Genomic DNA, 18,547 nt, shown 5'->3' with positions numbered 1-18,547 from the left:
TCAAGTTGCTGTGACCTTCTCATGCTGCTTGCTCCCAAGTATTTCAAATGTTGCAATGCTGGGCATTTTGTCAAGCTCATAACTGAAATGCTTTCTCCATATAAGATATGGAGTTTGACCCTATAGTAGAGATATGAATGTGGATTTGCTTTTACCCTGTAGATAAGATCAGCTACAGTGAAAGACACAGGTAAATAGAATGCTTAGGCAGAAACTGTTGGAATCCAGTGTACATGTGAAAAGAGTGAAATTTTTCAGGGCTAACAGTAAAGCCCTCTTCAGTGTGTAACTGGAATTCACCTTCTCTAGTATTTTTGCACAAGATTGAGAATAAAAATGGTTGTGATTGATGAAGCATTCAGTGTATATCTAACTGTAAGTCGGACTAGAGGGACTTTTAAATCACCCAAATGAAAGATTGTATTATCATGAACATTAATATGTAACAGTTAAGTGTGTCATAGCTTATCATAAGTCCTGGCATTCGCAGAGCTCTTTGAGGCCAGCCAACCAATAAGGAAAAACTTTTTAGCAAATGCCGGTCCACAATACCTCCATGAGTGAGGTCAGCCCAGTAGTCATGACTCTTAATAGGTTATTTATTTTTGTGTGCCCAACCTACCTACCTGTACATTCTAGTCACACTTTGCGGGGGCCTTGAAGATGTACTCTGAATTTTCTCCTCCCAATATTCTTACAGGGAAGACAAAAGCAGGTTGAAACCAAGGGGAAAATTTTACTTCTGGTGAGACTAGGAAGTTAGGGGGGAGGAAAATACCCAGAGTAACTTATTAAGGCATGGAGGTTGGATTAGTTAAATGTTTAGAAATTTTAAAATTTCTTATAGATTTGTTACCATTTATGTGGTTGACAGATTATTAACTGTTCACCCCTAGAAAACCAATTCAGGAAGGTAGAAACTTCTGTTTTTTATCTTTTGCAAAGTAATGTCTTTTCCTCCAAATTTGTAAGGTGTACATGTTCATAGCAGAAAATTTGAACTATAAGGCAAAATATTTTTAAAATCGTAACTACCTCTGTTCTTAATACCCAGAGAAACTTAGTAACTGGAAGGGCTATCCTTACATGTATAACATTTTTTTAAATGTTAGTGCTACATATATTTAATTAATTACATTTTTAACGGGTACATACTTTTTTCATTTGGCGTATTTATTATGTGGTCATATGTCCATTGAAGCTTTCTTTGTCTTTGTATCTACCATAACACCAAGTCCAGTACCATTTTAGTGGGATGAGCTTATTAATATTTTTTAAAATTACAATAGGTACATCTTATCAGAGTTAAATCTTCGAGTTATTTGTGGAAGGGAGAGAGAAGAGAAAAGGAGTAAATATTTACTGAGAACCTAGCACATGCTGAGTACTGGGTTACATACTTCATAGTAATATTGCACTTTATTATCATTAAATACTGATGATGATGATGATGGTAGCTAAGTATCATTGTGTACTTGCTGTGTAAAAGATCAGAACTTGGACATGTATCATTTCATTTAATTCTCACCACAACTCACTAAAGTTAAACACGTCTATTATTTCCATATTAAAGATGGAAAACCTGAGGTTCAGAGAGGTTAAGCTAATTACTCAAGATCACACAGCCAAAAATTATGAAGCCAAGTTGCCGGATGGTTCTTTATCTACCCTAAGATACATGCCCAGCTGTCCACACCAGTGCATTTGCTGCATCTATCCAACACACCAACCTGCCTTTTAATGTTTCTAAGTGACTTCTGTTTAACATGGGCCCCCTTTTAGCAACTTCCCTTGAAGGATTTTTTTGACCTTTTAATTTTTCTTTTGGTGTTAAAATTGGGGGATGGAGGCACTATATGCATCAGGCCATGCCCCACTTGGCCCAGTACCTGGAAACAGATAGCCATGAAGCGACACCCTTGCCTGCTCATGGTGTCAGCTGCATTGTGGATGCTGCTGTCACCTCTGTCTCAGGCAGCATCTGGGGCCATTGCAGGACTAGCCTATGAATCCTTCCTTTGGTTTCTGTTGCAAACTGAGGCACAGCTGTAATGACTGTGTGTAACCTATGCCCTGAGCCCAGGTGTCTGCTGTTACATGTTAGAGTAAGAAAGGTTTATCACTCGGTTGGCATTGACCATGTTTTGCAGTTGAGGCCACATGTGTAACCATTTCCCTACTGTGGGACCAGGTTTTCTGTAACAGCTGTTGGCCTAGGACATTTTGTTTCACTTCCATCCACTTCTGTTTCTTTATCTCAAACACTGGGAAAATCATAGTACCTGTCAAGTAAGGGTGTCAGAAGACTGGGTGACGTAAGTAAACCACTTCAGTAAAAGCCTTGCATGAAGTTGGCACTCAGGGGGCCTGAGGCATTGTTGTTGTTCTTCAGGGATACTCTAAGGACTAAGAATTGTTTTCTTAGTGACAAGTTCTCAGAGAACCAATTTAGATACTGGGAGATTGGTAATTACACTTTTTATTAGCTCCACTCTCTCAAGGAAGTGACTTTTCTTTCGTCTTTCTTGGAATTTGGGATATATCAATTAGCATGTGTTCATGGAACACCTCACTACTCCACAGTGGCTAAAAACATGAGGAAATTCATTATTTACTTGCCCAGAAGTTTGAAGATAGGCAGTGCCAGGATTGGTTTGGCATCTTAATAATGTCTGAGTGTGGGGTTAGGGAAGCTCTTTGATTCCTTCAACTTTTCCCTCTGGGCCACAAGATGGCTGCTGAAGCACCAGGCATCACTTTCCTACATGGTTGCATTTAAAGGCACAAAGTAAGGAAAAGGACAGAGCGGTGAGAGAGAGAGAAAGAGATCTCTTAGTGTCCTCTTATCAAGAAGAAAAAAAGTCATTTTCCCCTTATATCTTTTCAGTCATCTTCCCCTTATATCTTTTGGCCAGAACTAAATTAGATCACCATCCCTAACTGCAGAGAAAGCTGGGAAGGGGGAGCATCTCATTTTTTCAGCTTGGGGAGTAGGAGGTGGGAGAAAAGGGAGGGAGAAGAGAAAGAACGAGTTGGGATTGGCTGTTGGGTTGCCATCCGGTAGTGTGTGCCATATGGATAACACTTCATACTTGACCAGTGGAGGTTAACCTAAAGTCTACGTTGAGCCTACAAAGGAGATACATATACAATTATTCAGAATGACAGTGTACTTTTGGATTCTCATATCATTGCTAAAGCTAAAATTTCTTGGTATCAAGACAGTGTGGGTAACTCCAACGCACTTTGTTGACTTTGTTCATCATCAGGCTTTATCCCATCTTAAGCTCTCTATATATCACTCAGGAAATATTTTGTAGATGGCTCAGCTTCCTGCTCAGCGCCATAGTTCTGGATGTTTCCCACCCCACACATGGTGTTGTGTATGACCACCACCCCCGCTTCCAAATGGTCTTTGGTTCTGTATTTGCCCATTGCGAAAGAAACATCCTGACAGCTATGATGTATTTATAACGTTGTATGGCTGGTTTTACAGTCACTTTGTTACATCAATACTAATCTTTCTCGCTAAGCTGAAAAATCCATCACACCTTGAGTTACAGTGGAAAGCTTCACCTGAATTGTGTGCATTTTGGGTTTTTCAGGGGAGGGACAGGATGGAGGCACGTGACTGCTTAAGAGACTTTTCACAGTGTTACTCTCGTTTCCAAATGGTATGAGTTATTTGAGTTGCTGGAGCAGAGCACTTTCTGCAGGATAGCTGATGTCTCTGAAGACACAGTTTACATTCAATGTGTCCCAAAGAGAGTAGCAAGTACATTTTTCTAACAGTGAAAAAAGAAATCATTTTGCAACTAGCTTCTTAAAGAGTGCACTTGGTTCTAATCTACAGGCATAAAGCTTTCAAGTTACTCAATTATATAAATCTACAATTCTAATCAAAACCGTGTTTATAAAAAATAATTTTTACTTAAATTTGATGAAAAGATTCAAAGTAAGATTGGAATTTTTAAAAAAGTCATTACCAAAAACATTTTTTTTTCTTTCTTTCTTTTTTTTGAGACACAGTCTCACTCTGTCACCCAAGCTGGAGTGCAGTGGCGCAGTTTCGGCTCACTGCAACCTCCGCCTCCTGGGTTCAAGCGATTCTCCTGCCTCAGCCTCCTGAGTAGCTGGGATTACAGGCGTGCGCCACCATGCCTAGCTAATTTTTTGTATTTTAGTAAAGATGGGGTTTCATCATTCTGGCCAGGCTGGTCTCGAACTCCTGACCTCAGGTGATCTGCCCACCTCAGCCTCCCAAAAGTGCTAGGATTACAGGCGTGAGCCACTGCGCCCAACGCAAAAAACACTTTCAATTTTAGAGTTTATTAATTTCCGTTGAGAAGAAAATACAATTTTTAATGAATATGAAGAATTTTGTACTGGAAACCAAGTATCCATCTGCTTAAGATCCGATTGTCATGAATATGGAAATTCTATGACCCCCTCTAAAACTGCACAGTCCAAGATATGGCAGCCACTAGGCATGTGTGGCTATTTAAATTAATTAAACTTACATAAAATTAAAAATTCAGTTCCTCAGTGACACTAGCCATATTTCAAGTGCTCAGGAGCCTCATGTGGCTATTGGCTACCCTATTGGATGTTGTAGGCATAGAACATTTCCGTTGTCACAGAAAGTTCTGTTGGGCAGTGATGCTCTAGATGAGTGGTTCTCAACCAGGAATGACTTTCCCCAGCAGGGGACATTTGGCAACGTCTGGAGACGTTTTTGGAGGTCACGAATGCGGTGGGGGCATGTGCTACTAGCATCTAGGAATGCTGTTCAACATTCTGCAATGCATAGGGTAGCTTACACAATGAATAATTAATTTTCTGGCTCAAAATGTTCCTAGTACTGAGGTTAAAAAATCCTGCTGTCTGGTGGGGTGGACTTCTGTGGCCCCCAGCTCCTCAGTTCAAGTTTTAAAGCAATTCTCTTTATACAGATGTCAGACAACATGTGTTCTGGATATAATATTGGTGCTAAGTAGGGTTAAACCTGTGATTACGTTCAGAAAAGACTTGTTCTGAGTCCCATGGCCCCCAGTTAGAGGCAAGGGAGGATCCACTGGGCTGCATGGGGAGTCTGGTTGACACTGATGCTGCTGAGGCTGAAGAAATAGGGCAGCCATGGTGTTGTTTCCCTTTATTCTTCTGTCTTCTCCCCTCCTCACTTTCCCTCTCCCTTCCAACTGAGTGGAGCCAGCCATCTAAGTCATGATGTCTTGGGGTATAGTGGATTGGCTTGTACTCCAGGCCAGCTTCATTATTCAGGGCATTTGTGTGAGCAACAGGGGCTGGTACTGACATTCCTGCTTAGCAGCAGTTGGATGCCAATATGGTGTCCAAGGATCAGGTGTCTCAGCCAGAGGGCTGGGTTCAGATCCGGACTCCACTGCTTAGCTGTTGTGTGGCCAAGAGCAGATTATTTAACCTCTCTGAGCCTCAGTCTCCTCATTTTCAAAATGGAAATAATAACAGCCTGCATTTTGCAAGGCAATTGTAAAGATTAGGTGAGGAAATGCATGTAAAGTGACTAGTATAACTGCCGGCATATTTAAGAATAAATGGTAGCTTCTATTGTTGTTTTTGTTATTGTTTATGTTACTATGGTTACTAGTCCCAAGAAAGGCTGACTGAATTGATCTGGGGTTCATTCCCACCCAGGAAGAGGAAGTCAAGGCCCTGTTTGCTGGGTTGGCTGGGCTGGAGCCAGGGCTAAATGCCAGGCAGGCGCCAGGACCCTGCCCACTCCATCCCAGCTTAAATATTCTTACTATATTGTTTCTAGCTTGCCTATGGCCTCTGGCATCCACATGACTCTAAACTCCATTCAGTTATTTTCTTTCCTCCAATGCTAAATTAGGATGTTCACTTTGGTTCCTCCTGGGTTTCCAGCATCTGCAGAAATTCTACACAAAAGGATTCAGAAAGTGCTGGGGCTGGGAAGTTTGTGTTGGCCTTGTTTCAATGACCAATGCAGCTCTTTCTCCTTCCTACCCTTCCCACTGGCTTTTTTGTGATCAGTGACCACAAGACTAAGGACTCCACACCAGGCCTGAGGCCTATTGTGTGAACCAGCTGGCCATTCCCCTAATCTCATAGGTTGGTCCATCCCTGACTGAACCATAACTATGAGGAGCCTGGAGAGGAACTTCTTAAGTTTGTATTCGACTTCATGCTGAATTTTTTTTTTTTTTTTTTGAGATGACGTCTTGCTCTGTTGCCCAAGCTGGGGTGCAGTGGTGCAATCTCGGCTCACTGCAAGCTCCGCCTGCCAGGTTCAAGCGATTCTCCTGCCTCAGCCACCCGAGTAGCTGGGATTACATGTGCGCGCCACTATGCCTGGCTAATTTTTGTATTTTTAGTAGAGACAGGGTTTCACCATGTTGGTCAGGCTGGTCTTGAACTCCTGAGCTCGTGATCCACCTGCCTCGGCCTCCCAAAGTGCTGGGATTACAGGCGTGAGCCACCGTGCCTGGCCATGCTGGATTTTTTTAGACCTCCAGTTTAGTTTGCTTTGAGATCATCTTGAGTTCTTTCTGACTGTGGGTCCTGACTTCTTTTTCCAACTCCATTATTAGCAGGAAGAGAGCATGGCTGATGAACTGGTTAATTACATAGGAAACACGAGATCCTACAGATTTTGAATATTAGTTATGAGAGTTAATTGATTTGTGTGTGCTTAGTTGGTTTGCTTTCCCATAAAGGCTAACATATATTGTAGAGTAGGAGAGCTACATATAGAACACTATCTATTTTGGGCTCCTGTGTGGCACCTTATGGTTGCAAATGACCCAAAGCCAACTCCAGCTGGCTAAGCAAATAAGGGAATTTAATTGGCTTGTGTAATTGACAAGTCCAAGAGGAGGCCTGTTCTCTGTGAGCATTGTTAGGAATCTGTCTTGCTATTGTGCTCACCTTCTTGCCGCTGTGTCCTGGCCTCTGTTCAGCCAGCTCTCTTTTTGTGGAGGCAAGCCCGATTCATGCATTTAAAAGTTTAGCAAGCCAGCAGAAGGACAGCCTTTCTGTCTCCCAATAGTTCCTATGGAATGCTAGTAGTTGAGTATCATTCTTGGGACATGTCCATCCATCAGCCAATCAGTGTTGCTGGCAGAGCAGAACTCACTGATTGGTCAGACTTGGGTTATGGCTCCACCCTCTGGAGCTGAGAGATGCATCAGCCTCCTGTGAACCATTAGGACTGAGAGTGGAGAATGGGCGTTTCCCCAAAAGAAAAATCAGGCTAGTGTCATCAGAGAAAGGGGAGCATGGATGTTGGGCAGACAAAAACAACAGATATCCACTACCATATTTCCCTTTTCATTGTGCTAGTGACTTGGAGAAAATCTCCTGCCTGGTGTGTCTTGATTTCGCCACCAAAGTCGCTCGCAGGCCCTCGGCCTGATTTTATTTACAGCAGCAGCACACCTCTCTCTTCTTCCCTGCAGTCATGATACCCCGGTCTTTCCCCCAGAGGTTGGAATAAATGGCCTTCTCTGAGCCACAATCAATGGCATTCCGTAAGGTGTGACAGAGGAGGCCATCTGGCACTTGTCCCATTGTCGTTTCTCCCTGCCCAGGGAAGAGGCACATTCCAGGCAGAAGGTCGCAGCTCAGCCAAGTGCTGCTGTCTCTCAGAAGCATCACCCTCAGACTGGGGTCTGCAGCACAGAAACGCCACCAGAGTCAAACACCTGGCAGGATTTCCCCCTTTCCCTTTGTGAAATTTTCCAACAGAACCAGGTTGTGGAATAATACATAATGAAAATGATTCTTGAATAAAATTATAAGTTTGAATGTTCTGCACAATACTTTCCCCAATATTGGATGGATTTTTTTTTTAAGATGCTAGCACTGAGATCACTGGCCCATTTCAATTTTTATTGAAACAAATAAACCCAATAAAAACACTTATGCTGAGAGCTGTAGCGCCACAGTGAAAGAATCACCCTGTATTGAATGTATTGATTTATTTATTTACTGCAACTGGAAAATCGAGTATTGTGTTAATGTATTTTATAAGAATCACATTGCTCGATGAAATGGCTAATTTATTTGAGCGTATACATAAATAGCTAGCAATTTTCTCTGAGACAGGCTAATGAAAATGATGCCATGAAATTGTCTATACGATGAAGAGTGACGGAGACGAGTTATTATTGGGTGAGTGCTAAGACGCGCTGAACTGGCCATCATATCTTTGAACTTTTGAACTGCTACTTGTTTCGTGTGATTTATTGATTTTGCTATCTCTCTGTTTAGCTCAACTTTAGTTTTTGCCCAGCAGTGCAGATAAGTGGCATAGGAGATTTAATTTCATGGGTATTTGGGGTTAAAACCTATCTTTAAAAAGAATGCTAAACATGTTTTAATAAAACATGAGTTGCAGGGGTTTTAGGTTTCTGTACGATATGGATCTGATAAGAACCAAGGCAGTTTAGAGGGCAGCCCAGAGGTTCCAGGCTAGGGAGGAACTCTTTCTGAGCTTTGGAAGTTTCACCAGGGCCACATGCATTTTATTTGCTAGATCAGCCTGGCTTCATTCTTAATTACATGTATCATTTATCCCCCTGCCTGTGCCCTTTTGCTCATGGCACATGTTTTGCCTCGATGCCTGGTACACAGAAGGTTTCTCGGGTTCTCGCAGGCAGCATCACTGTCCCTGTCCTCCCGTCCTTGCACACCGAGGGCTGGCCGCTACCGAAGCACCCTCATTTTGGCTGATCTCATGGGGAAACTGCTTTCAAGAGCAGCCACGGCTCTCACCTAGGGAATAAAGATATGGAAGCCTTCTCAGCGTCGGGGCCAGAGCTGGCTCGCTGCTGCTCAGCTGCCTCCAGATTAGTTCTCTGTGGTCCCCATCAGCATTGTTACCCTCCTTATCAGCCTAGCCCTGACCTTTGAGTGGGATGTTTCACTCACTGCTTTGTGGTGGGGGGGGGGTGGTTTTCGTACTAAGTGATCATGGCAAGAAAGCAGCCTTACTTTTTATTGTTGTCTTTGGACCTGCAGAACTTTTCTTAAAAATGTAACATTTTGGGAACTCATTCTTCATAATATTTTTTATTTTATTAGCTAATTTCTAAAGGATGATTTGACAACAGTATTTTATGCTTTTTGTTTATTTGTGGGTGGGGGGGGTGGTGATTGGAGGAGGTGGGAAAGAGCTTTATCATGTAAAAGTAACCATCCTAGAAATTTCAGGTAATAAATTTTCAGGTGCATGAATGGTTAAGACTCTTCACTCAGTGACACAGTATGTGAATGAGGAATTTTTATGAAGGTAACGGTCTTGTTCTTTAAAAATCTGATTTATTTAGCAGGTACTTCTAAATGACCAAGTAATTTTAACCTTCAGAGAAAGATGGGGAGGGGGTGGGTGGGTAGAGAAGGCTTGTATCTCTGCAAGGGATTGAAAATTCACATCCCTTTTAATGATTAAACTGGCACGGTCTTTATTTGGATGTTAAAAGCCTTTTCTTACATTGCAAACATTCTTAGCAAATTTACAGTCAGATATTTGGAAACAGCTAACACTTGAAAAAAAAAAGGAGGAGGAGGGCCTGTTTGAACTAGGAAACAAAATTAGTAGGAATGGCTGAAAAGACAGGACTGACCCCAACACCATTAGCTGGAGAAAAAAAAATTCCATTTCATTGCAACTATGTTATTGTTTACTTTACCATACACATCCTAATATGGTTACCTCCCCGTCAGAGGAGGCCAAGCCAGGGGTTGAGAGGCCCCCTCCGGGAGAAAGCTCCTAACTGCTTCTCAGACAATAAGAAACAAACGGTACAACTCCACAAAAGGCTTCCCGGAAAATAAGTGTCAAATAAATCCTACGGAACTCTCGCTTCTGCCACTGAGCTCTGTATATGCAAACCTGTTTTTATGCCATCGCTTCCCCAGGCTGAGCTGCGTTTGTTTGGAAATGTAAGCCACTGCCTTTTCTTTTTTTCTTTTTTCCTTTTTTTTTTTTCCCCCCTCACTTCATCTGAGGGCTCTGGATTAATTCCTTGAGACATATCTTTGCATACATATCTCATGAGTTATGTTTCCTGGAGCCTTTTACTAGGAACATTAAGGTAAGAATGTTGATTTAGCCTGGGACCTTTGTCACTCAAACTAATGCTCATCAGTGATATAGACATTGTAAAGAAATATTGCGGAGGTCTTTTGTGGTCCCCCTCCCAAACAGAGAGGTGCAGTGCTTTTAATTGTCATGCATGGATTCAGAAAAAAAAAATGCCACCAGTTGTGGATGAGATGTAGCAGAGGTGTGTACTCACTGGTGTGGTGTAAACACTGCTGAAAACACCCCCGATCTGTGGCAGCCACAACAGTTTCATTAGAAGCCTTTTCCTGCTGTTTCTTCCAATTCTTCTCTACTTGGGCGTATTTCTTTTTCTTTTTCTTCTTCTATTTTTTTTTTTTTCCCTTTTTCAACTCTCCTGATCTTTTCCAAATCCTCATGGTCTTGAGGCTTGCCTGTTATTATCTGCAACTCCAGAACAAAGGTAGGTTGCTCAACTCTGTGCTTCGGGGGGAGGGCCAAGTTATTTTGGGAGGGATGTCTTCCTAATGCATGAGTGGCTGACCTAAAAGAGGGGGGAGAGATCATGCTTGGAGCCGAGGGATGAGAGCGCACGCACTGTGGCAGCTTTTATGTAGTGGAGTTTATTTTTATGCAACTTAAAGTAGCGGCAGCATCTTTAGTAGAATGGACTCGTTAGGTTTGGATAATCCACACTGGTGTAACACTGATGTGTACATTTTATTACCAAACTGGGGTTTCAGACATTTGGGGATGCTTGAATTTATGGCAGCAGCTAAGATTCCCTGATGAGGGACTGTATTGAGTTTATCAAAATTAAATAACAGATTTAGGACTTTTTTCTTTTCTTTTAAATTTTAATGTGAAGGTGTGTTTGGGTGACTGGCTATGTACTTTTTCTTTTCCCCTTTGGTCTAATTGCTTTAATTCCTTGGACACCTTCACTTATTTCTCAATTATTTTCTTCTCTAATTTTGTGTAATCTGGTGCTCTGTTGGAGCCAAGGTGGAGGTTTACTGTTTTTAACTAATTGTGCCTTGCTGGGTGGCAATACAATAGAAAGAGTAAAGACCACAAGAAATTCATCTCCACCTGAAAAGGGGACTGGACTAGAGTGGTGCAGCTTCATAATTGAAAACAAGTGCAAATTAAGCCTTGGTGAGGGATATTACAGGCTATTAATCATAATAAATATGTTTGGCAACGATGTATTTTCTTTCTACAGTTTTCAGTTAAAAAAAATCAAAGTTGGTGATTAGAAGAGGGAATAGTTCTTTGGCTTATAGATGCTGGGACGTACTTGTTCATTAGTTCAAACCACGTTAAAAGTGAGCAGTTTGTTCCAGAATCAAGTATGTCATTCCCAAGCAGATTTGAATACATCCCTGTCCAAATGCAATCTCGGGTTCATGCCACAGTGCTTGGCTTTTTCTGAACATCTCAGCTTCAGCACGGGACTCGAGTGCTAAGAATTTTATTTTACGTTATGACTGTGCTCGCACATTCCTGTTGGTTTCTTGGCTGCGGATCATCTCTGTGCATGCACTGTAGCCCTGTCAAGGTGAAGCTCTTTGAAAAATAGAAATTCAGTGTATTTAACCAAAATGAGCTTGAGCAGCCCCTAAGTTTCTATCTTAGAAAGCTGCTAATTATGCTTGTCGAAAAACACATCTGAGTGGAAGGTTCTGAGTCCAAACAGGATCGAGTACTGCTTTAGAAATATAACTGTAGTCTGTGCTTTTAGAGAGGTTTATTTTTACTTTGGGGCCATGGAGGGGGTGATTGGAATTAGTAGCCTTTAATTAGACGGGGAGATATTCAAATTTTACAGGGATTTATGTTAGAACATGGAATGGCGGGTGGCTCTTTCCTCATTATGAATCCTCCCTGCACATAATGAGGTTCATCATTAGTTGATGGAGTGAATTTGCCCTAGCTCTACCTTGAAAGGCACATAATTTACATACTACTTCAGAGCCTAAGCTTTAATGGATTCTTCGATGAATAAAATGAAAAGCTACTTTCTTTAAATTTTTGAACACTGTTTAGATAATACGATTTTAATAAGACATTCAATTTGCTTGTTAAGTATATTTGAAAGTGCTTTTTTTTTTTTTTTTCCTTTTTGGGCAAAATATATTTTGGCTTGCCATGCTGTGTATCACAGCGATGTACCCTCACAGTTGTCTCAGAGGACATATGGGGTACGTTGTTAAGAAATGGGACAATCTTAGGCGGAAAGCTTTTTCACATGTGAGCCTCCAGATTATTGACAAATCTTTTTGTATAGAAACTCTTCTGACATTAAATGGTTATAACAAAAAGGTTTGGAAACAAGCTTATTATTAGTGTCTGGTTTCACATATACGAAATTTGTGTGCATGCTGATTCCAGCCAAAATTGACAATAGCTAGCTGTACCTCCTGATGTATTTTAATGATGGAAGAGCAAACTTCCCTAGTGCAGCTGTGTGTTTCAAACTGCTGTGTAGCTATGATTCGATGAGGAGAAATTGAGTTGGAGGCTGTCTAATATGTTATCAGGGCATCAGCTTAGGAGCGTTCTGGTCTATGCCATAGGTGCAGCAAGTTTTCTGTCACTCTTCCCTCTTTGGGCTGGAATGAGGAAAAAAATCAGCTTTGACTCAGCACGATTTGAACACGAATGTCTTTTAAATGAATATGGGGGGTTAGTAATAGCATGTTACCGAACATGTCCTTTGCTTGTTCGAGACAGGTCACCCCTGCATTGTTATCATTGCTGCAAGTAGAAGCAGGTTTCTGGTGGTTTGTCACTTTCAAGAGCAGGGAAGGTGTCTAAATATAAGCGAAGCCTTGTTTTGATAGAATGTTTTATTACCTGAAAATGATCAGCATATATTAACATTAATAGAATAGTCCATGTCATTCTTTTTTTAGGCAATTTACCTCTGCTACAGACCTGTCTGCTTAAAAAAAAATCTTCCTCTCTTCTAAAACATATATTTGTTTAGAGAGTTTTCACTGAAGTGTACATGACAATTACAGCTGTTCATTAACAAAATTGGGTATTTGTTTTAAACTTTAACCAATCACTTTGATATGCTAATTATGGTGTAATTTAATTTGAGCCCTGTAATGATGATGCCGTTATTATGGACATAAATGATGCAGTTAAGCTGAGAGTAATCTCATTTGCATACTGTACATGCCAGTAAATTAAGCCCTTTCTTCGACTGCTTCAGCTTTAATTTTCCACTTCTTTTCACACAGCTCCTTTTCAGCCCCTCTCTTATAAGCCCACTTTGTAATAGTCCTGATGACTGTTTGATGTGAAGAGTTTCGGCACCACAATAATGCACGACAGAAGATGTAACATTTAAAGGATTCATTATCTTGCTGAGTGTTCCTTTAAGAAAGAAGGATTAGAGGGTGGAGGGGAGACCGGAGTGTCCTTTCCATGGGATATGACAGGGCCCCCTGTTAAAGTAATTTGAGACGCCAAATGCTCTCCACTCGCCCCTAAGTCAGACTTGGGACCTATTATTTAAAATGATGGCTTTTCCCCCACCGTTCTGTAGTTTATGGTCACAAATTGTGTTGCTTTCAGCAGTAGTGAATTTCCTGTGCTCCCTTATGGTAATTGGAGGTAAAAGTTTTTTTTTTGTTTTTTTGTTTTGTTTTGTTTTGTTTTTTTGAGATGGAATCTCACACTGTCGCCTGGGCTAGAGTGCAATGGTGGGATCTCGACTCACTGCAAGCTCCGCCTCCCGGGTTCAAGCTAGTCTCCTGCCTCAGCCTCCCGAGTAGCTGGGATTACAGGCACCCGCCACCATGCCCGGCTAATTTTTTGTATTTTTAGTAGAGATGGGGTTTCACTATGTTGGCCAGGCTGGTCTCGAACTCCTGACCTCGTGATCCGCCCGCCTAAGCCTCCCAAAGTGCTGGGATTACAGGCGTGAGAAACCGCGCCCAGCGAAGGTAAAAGTTTAATTTAGCTTGACTGTTAAGATTCTTCAAATCTGGGCCTTCATAGATGAGATTATAATTTTAAACAATTCTGGCCAGGCGCTGTGGCTCACGCCTGTAATCCCAGTACTTTGGGAGGCCAGGGCGGGCAGATCATGAGGTCAGGAGATCGAGACCATCCTGGCTAACATGGTGAAACCCTGTCTCTACTAAAAATACAAAAACAAAATTAGCCGGGCATGGTGGCACGCGCCTGTAATCCCAGCTACTCGGGACCTGAGGCAGGAGAATGGCGTGAACCCCGGAGGCGGAGGTTGCAGTAAGCCGAGATCGCGCCACTACACTCCAGCCTGGGTGACAGAGCGAGACTCCGTCTAAAAAAAAAAATAAAAAAACACAATTCTGAGATATGACTGAATGACATTTTCAAAAGGAACTTCTTTTTTCCCCCCATTCTGCCTGGATTATCCAAAAACCACCCATTTCATCCACTTCTGTAAGAATGGAAACGCTTTGCACATAGATGCTCTTCCATTTGTAGGCCCATCGCTGCTACCCTGCTTGAGCCAGGAGACCAGCCATGTGCCTTTTCATGGCCTTTGGCCAGTACACTGCCCTTCCATTCAAACCAAAGAATGCAAAGAGCATCACTAAACTCTTCTACATCGTGAACGGATTCTCCCCATGGCTCTCGCCGAAGCCAGTGGGAGTTGAGTGGGTGTAACTGAGGATTGAATTTAGCACTGTGTTTTTAAAAGGGTCATAGGCCTAAAAATAGTTCAAGCTGTTTGACTCTGCTGCAGGCTACTTCCTTAGCAAATGGAAAAAAGTATTAAAATAAAATAGAAATCGGCTGCCTCCATTCTCATTTCTTGGGACTGTGAAAGTCTTGTACTTCCTTTCGAAGCCCCCCAGTTCTCCATCCCCTGACCCAAAGTTCTTCCTAGTTGATTGTCAACCCTGCCCCCAGCAGTTCTCTGATAGGAGGCTGCCTTTTCTAATATTTTGACAGGCAGAAATTTCCTGGTATTGCCATGGCAAATTGTACATAGGGCTCACTCAGCCTGGTAGCAGTGGCAACTGGAATATGGAATTTCGTCCAACTTTGGAAATCTCAGGGGAGGTGAATGTCTCCCAGTTGTGTTTGAGTTAAGCAAAGGCTGTCACACTTGACACAATGTCAGACTGTTTTAAAGCAAAGTGTAACACTTAAAAAGCGTTATTCTTTTTCCTGCTTTTACATGCTTTCAAAAATACCATGGGCTTCAAAGTGTGTGTAAAAAACCTTGTAGAAATACTTGTACTATGGCTATAATTCCATATCCAATATTATACTTTTTTGAAATGTGGAGCTTTTTGGTTTTCTTTTTGTTTGTTTGTTTGTTTTTGTTTTTGAGAAGGAGTCTTGCTCTGTTGCCCAGGCTGGAATGCAGTGGCGTGATCTCGGCTCACTGCAACCTCTGCCTCCCAGGTTTAAGCAATTCTCCTGCCTTAGCCTCCTGAGTAGCTGGGATTACGGGCACGTGCCACCACACCTGGCAAATTTTTTGTATTTTTAGTAGAGACGGGGTTTCACCATCTTAGTCAGGCTGGTTCTCGATCTCCTGACCTCGTGATCTGCCTACCTCGGCCTCCCAAAGTGCTGGGATTACAGGCATGAGCCACCGTGCCTGGGCAGCTTTTTGGTTTTCAATATAATTGAGGGAGACAGGGAAGAGGAGAAATGATTTTATATAATAGTGTGGAAATTTTTAATTTTTATCCCAGCATGTAGACTGGATTTTCTCAGTACAGACCAAGCTCAAATGCAATCACATATTCCCACTGTGAAATTTCCTACTTTTAGGAAGGTGGGAAAACAGAGAGCATAAGCTCTCTGAAGGCAAGGAATGTTTATCTGAATTCTCAGCACTTACACTAATGCCTTGCACATAAGTAGGTATTGAAGAAATATTTCCTGATTGAAATGGACTTGCTTATTCCTGAAGACTTTTGAGGAAATAAGAAAGAAATCAAATGAGAAAATACAGAAGAAAATGCTCTCTAAAGTGTAAAGCTATTAAATATACATGATGATGTTGAGATTGTAAACCTCTTCAACCTCCTCTTCCCGGGTCCCTCCCTTGTGTGGGGGAGCCACTTGTAAGTGCTTGCAGGTGGACAGGAGCAATCCTAGATGGGAAGCCACCTCAGCCCCGATTATTTATGAATGCCTGTAACGATAATAGTCACTCTTGGTTACTGAGCTACAGCTGTGGTCTAGAACTGTTGTGAACGCTTGTCATACTTAATGTCATAGAATCTTACCAATAGCTTTTCAGGATAGGTGCTGTTATTCTAATCTTTTCCATGTGGCAACTGTGATGCAGACATTGTCCCAGGTCAGACAGCTGTTAGGTCTGGAACCAAGACAAGTATTCCTTCAGGAAAACCCCAGAGTCCTCACTCCTGGCTGTTGCACTTGAATCTTCCCTTTCCTTGTAGACACACACACACACCCCCCCACACCCCTTTAGAGGCATGCTTATACTTTGTACATTCATTTATTGAACGGCAGTAGTGTTCCAGGTAGCAGCCTAGGCACTTTACATACTCTGTTTTCACAGAGGCCTGGCAAGGTAACTGTAATTTGTCCCTACTTACTAATGAGGAAGCAGACATTCACTCGGATTGAATAACTTGCTTATGCAGGTAGAAAGTGACCAAGCTGAGCTTTGAAGCCCTGCTTGTCTGCCTGCAAAGCCCTTGTTCACTGAATCACCACTGCATGGTCCCCGCTAATCTATATGTAGCCTGAGAGTGTTTTGTTCTCTTAAATTAGTTAACTTACTGTTTAATTGATTTATTAATTTCATATATTTTGAGTGCCTATGGGATGTAAAGCCTTTCGTAGTTACCTTATATTTTGGAGAGTCGGACTAAATGTGCGCCTTAAGTAACTGAGAATCTCCTAATTTCTCAGTCTTTTAGTATAACGTCAATTCCTGGCAGGGAGCCACCTTCTCTTCCTTCTCCCCTTCCCCCTCCAGACACATAAATGAGACTGTTGTTAAATTATCCTTTTTCCTGGGGGAGGAGAATGCTGTGCTGTCTCCTTCCCTTTGATTGAAGCCTTCCTTACTGTTATCTTGACAGGTGACAGAATGAATATCAGCTGTGGAACTTATAGATATGTGGGTCCATATGTGTTTACACATATCCCCATGTACACGTATGGATTCATTGCTTGCACTTTCATTTATACACACTGCAGGCCACATGTAGAGAAAGCAGTAGGAACATTTCAAGGAAACTCTGTGCTTCCTGATACTCCTTTCCTAGCACCGTTCCTTGGCTCCATAGCTCTGCAATCCCAATTCAAGCATGGGAAGTGATGACAGTATGTAAAGTGTCAGTTTCCCTTACCACACAGAAACTCTTCCAGGCCAGGATCTTGAAATGCTTCTAGTCCTGCACTGTCTGCTATGGTAGCTACCAGCCAGATGTGGCTCTTGAGCCCTGGAAGCGTGGCTAGCTAGCCCCAATCAAGATAGGCCATATGTATAAAATATATGCTGGCATCCAAAGACTTAGTAGAAAAAAAGAAGAAAGAAGGTTAACTATCTCATTCATCTTTTATATTAGTTGCATGTTGAAATTAAAACATTTTGGATATATTAAGTAAAATCCAATTTTTTTTTTTTTTTTTTTTTTTTTTTTTTTTTTTCAGATGGAGTCTTGCTCTGTCGCCCAGGCTGGAGTGCAGTGGCATAATCTCAGTTCATTGCAACCTCTGCCTCCCAGGATCAAGTGATTCTCCTGTCTCAGCCTCCCAAGTGGCTGGGATTACAGGCGTGCACCACCACGCCTGGCTAATTTTTGTATTTTTAGTAGAGGCGGGGTTTCACCATGTTGGTCAGGCTGGTCTCAAACTCCTGACCTCGTGATTTGCCCGCCTCGGCCTTTCAAAGTGCTGGGATTACAGACATGAGCCACCGCACCTGGCCCAATTGTATTTTTAAAACCAGTTTCACTACTTCTTTTTTATTTTATTTTTTTCTTTTTCTTTTTCTTTTTTTTTTCCTTAAGACAGGATCTCGCTGTGTCACTCAGGCTGGAGTGCAGTGGCAGGATTATGGCTCATTGCAGCCTCAGCCACCTGGGCTCAAACTGTCCTCCCACCTCAGCCTCCTGAGTAGCTGGGACTGTGGAAACCACCATCACACCCAGCTAATGATTTTTATTGTCTCTTGTGGAGATAAGGTCTCCCGATGTTGCCCAGGCTGGTCTCCAACTTCTGGGCTCAAGCCGTCCTCCTGCCTTGTCCTCCCAAAGTGTTGGGATTACAGGTGTGAGCCACTACACCCAGCCATTTTTGCTTGTTTATACGTGGCTGCTAGAAATTTTAAAATTACACATGTGGCTTGCCTCTGTGGCTCTCATTATATGCCTGTGGGACAATGAAGCTCTAGAATCTACATGATATCTCTGTAGACAGGATGACTGGTAGATCGTGGGTGCTGGAGGGTGGTAGCTCAAAGATTTATCCAAAAAG

General features: G+C 42.1%; 1 protein-coding gene across 12 annotated transcripts in view, besides 1 other annotated feature; it reads left to right on the top strand.

The window, feature by feature from the left end:
* FOXP1 (forkhead box P1) overlaps positions 1-18,547 on the top strand; it is a 629,271-nt gene that overhangs the window by 329,028 nt on the left and 281,696 nt on the right. The window contains exon 1 of one of the 12 annotated variants that reach the window (NM_001244814.3): positions 9,874-10,097. The exons of the other annotated variants lie outside the window; for them this stretch is intronic. The gene's annotated coding sequence lies outside the window, so the exon portion shown is untranslated. Of the gene's footprint in view, positions 1-9,873; positions 10,098-18,547 lie in introns of those variants that run through there. 12 annotated transcript variants of the gene reach the window in all.
* Positions 11,518-13,684: an enhancer, noted in NCBI's record as "VISTA enhancer hs187". NCBI's record gives its function as "enhancer in: forebrain[8/9]" and the evidence as "EXISTENCE:transgenic organism evidence [ECO:0001131][PMID:17130149]".

Source organism: Homo sapiens, chromosome 3 (assembly GCF_000001405.40).
Source record: "Homo sapiens chromosome 3, GRCh38.p14 Primary Assembly".
NCBI classification, from domain to species: domain Eukaryota; kingdom Metazoa; phylum Chordata; class Mammalia; order Primates; family Hominidae; genus Homo; species Homo sapiens.
This window is presented reverse-complemented; position numbering and strand designations above follow the sequence as displayed.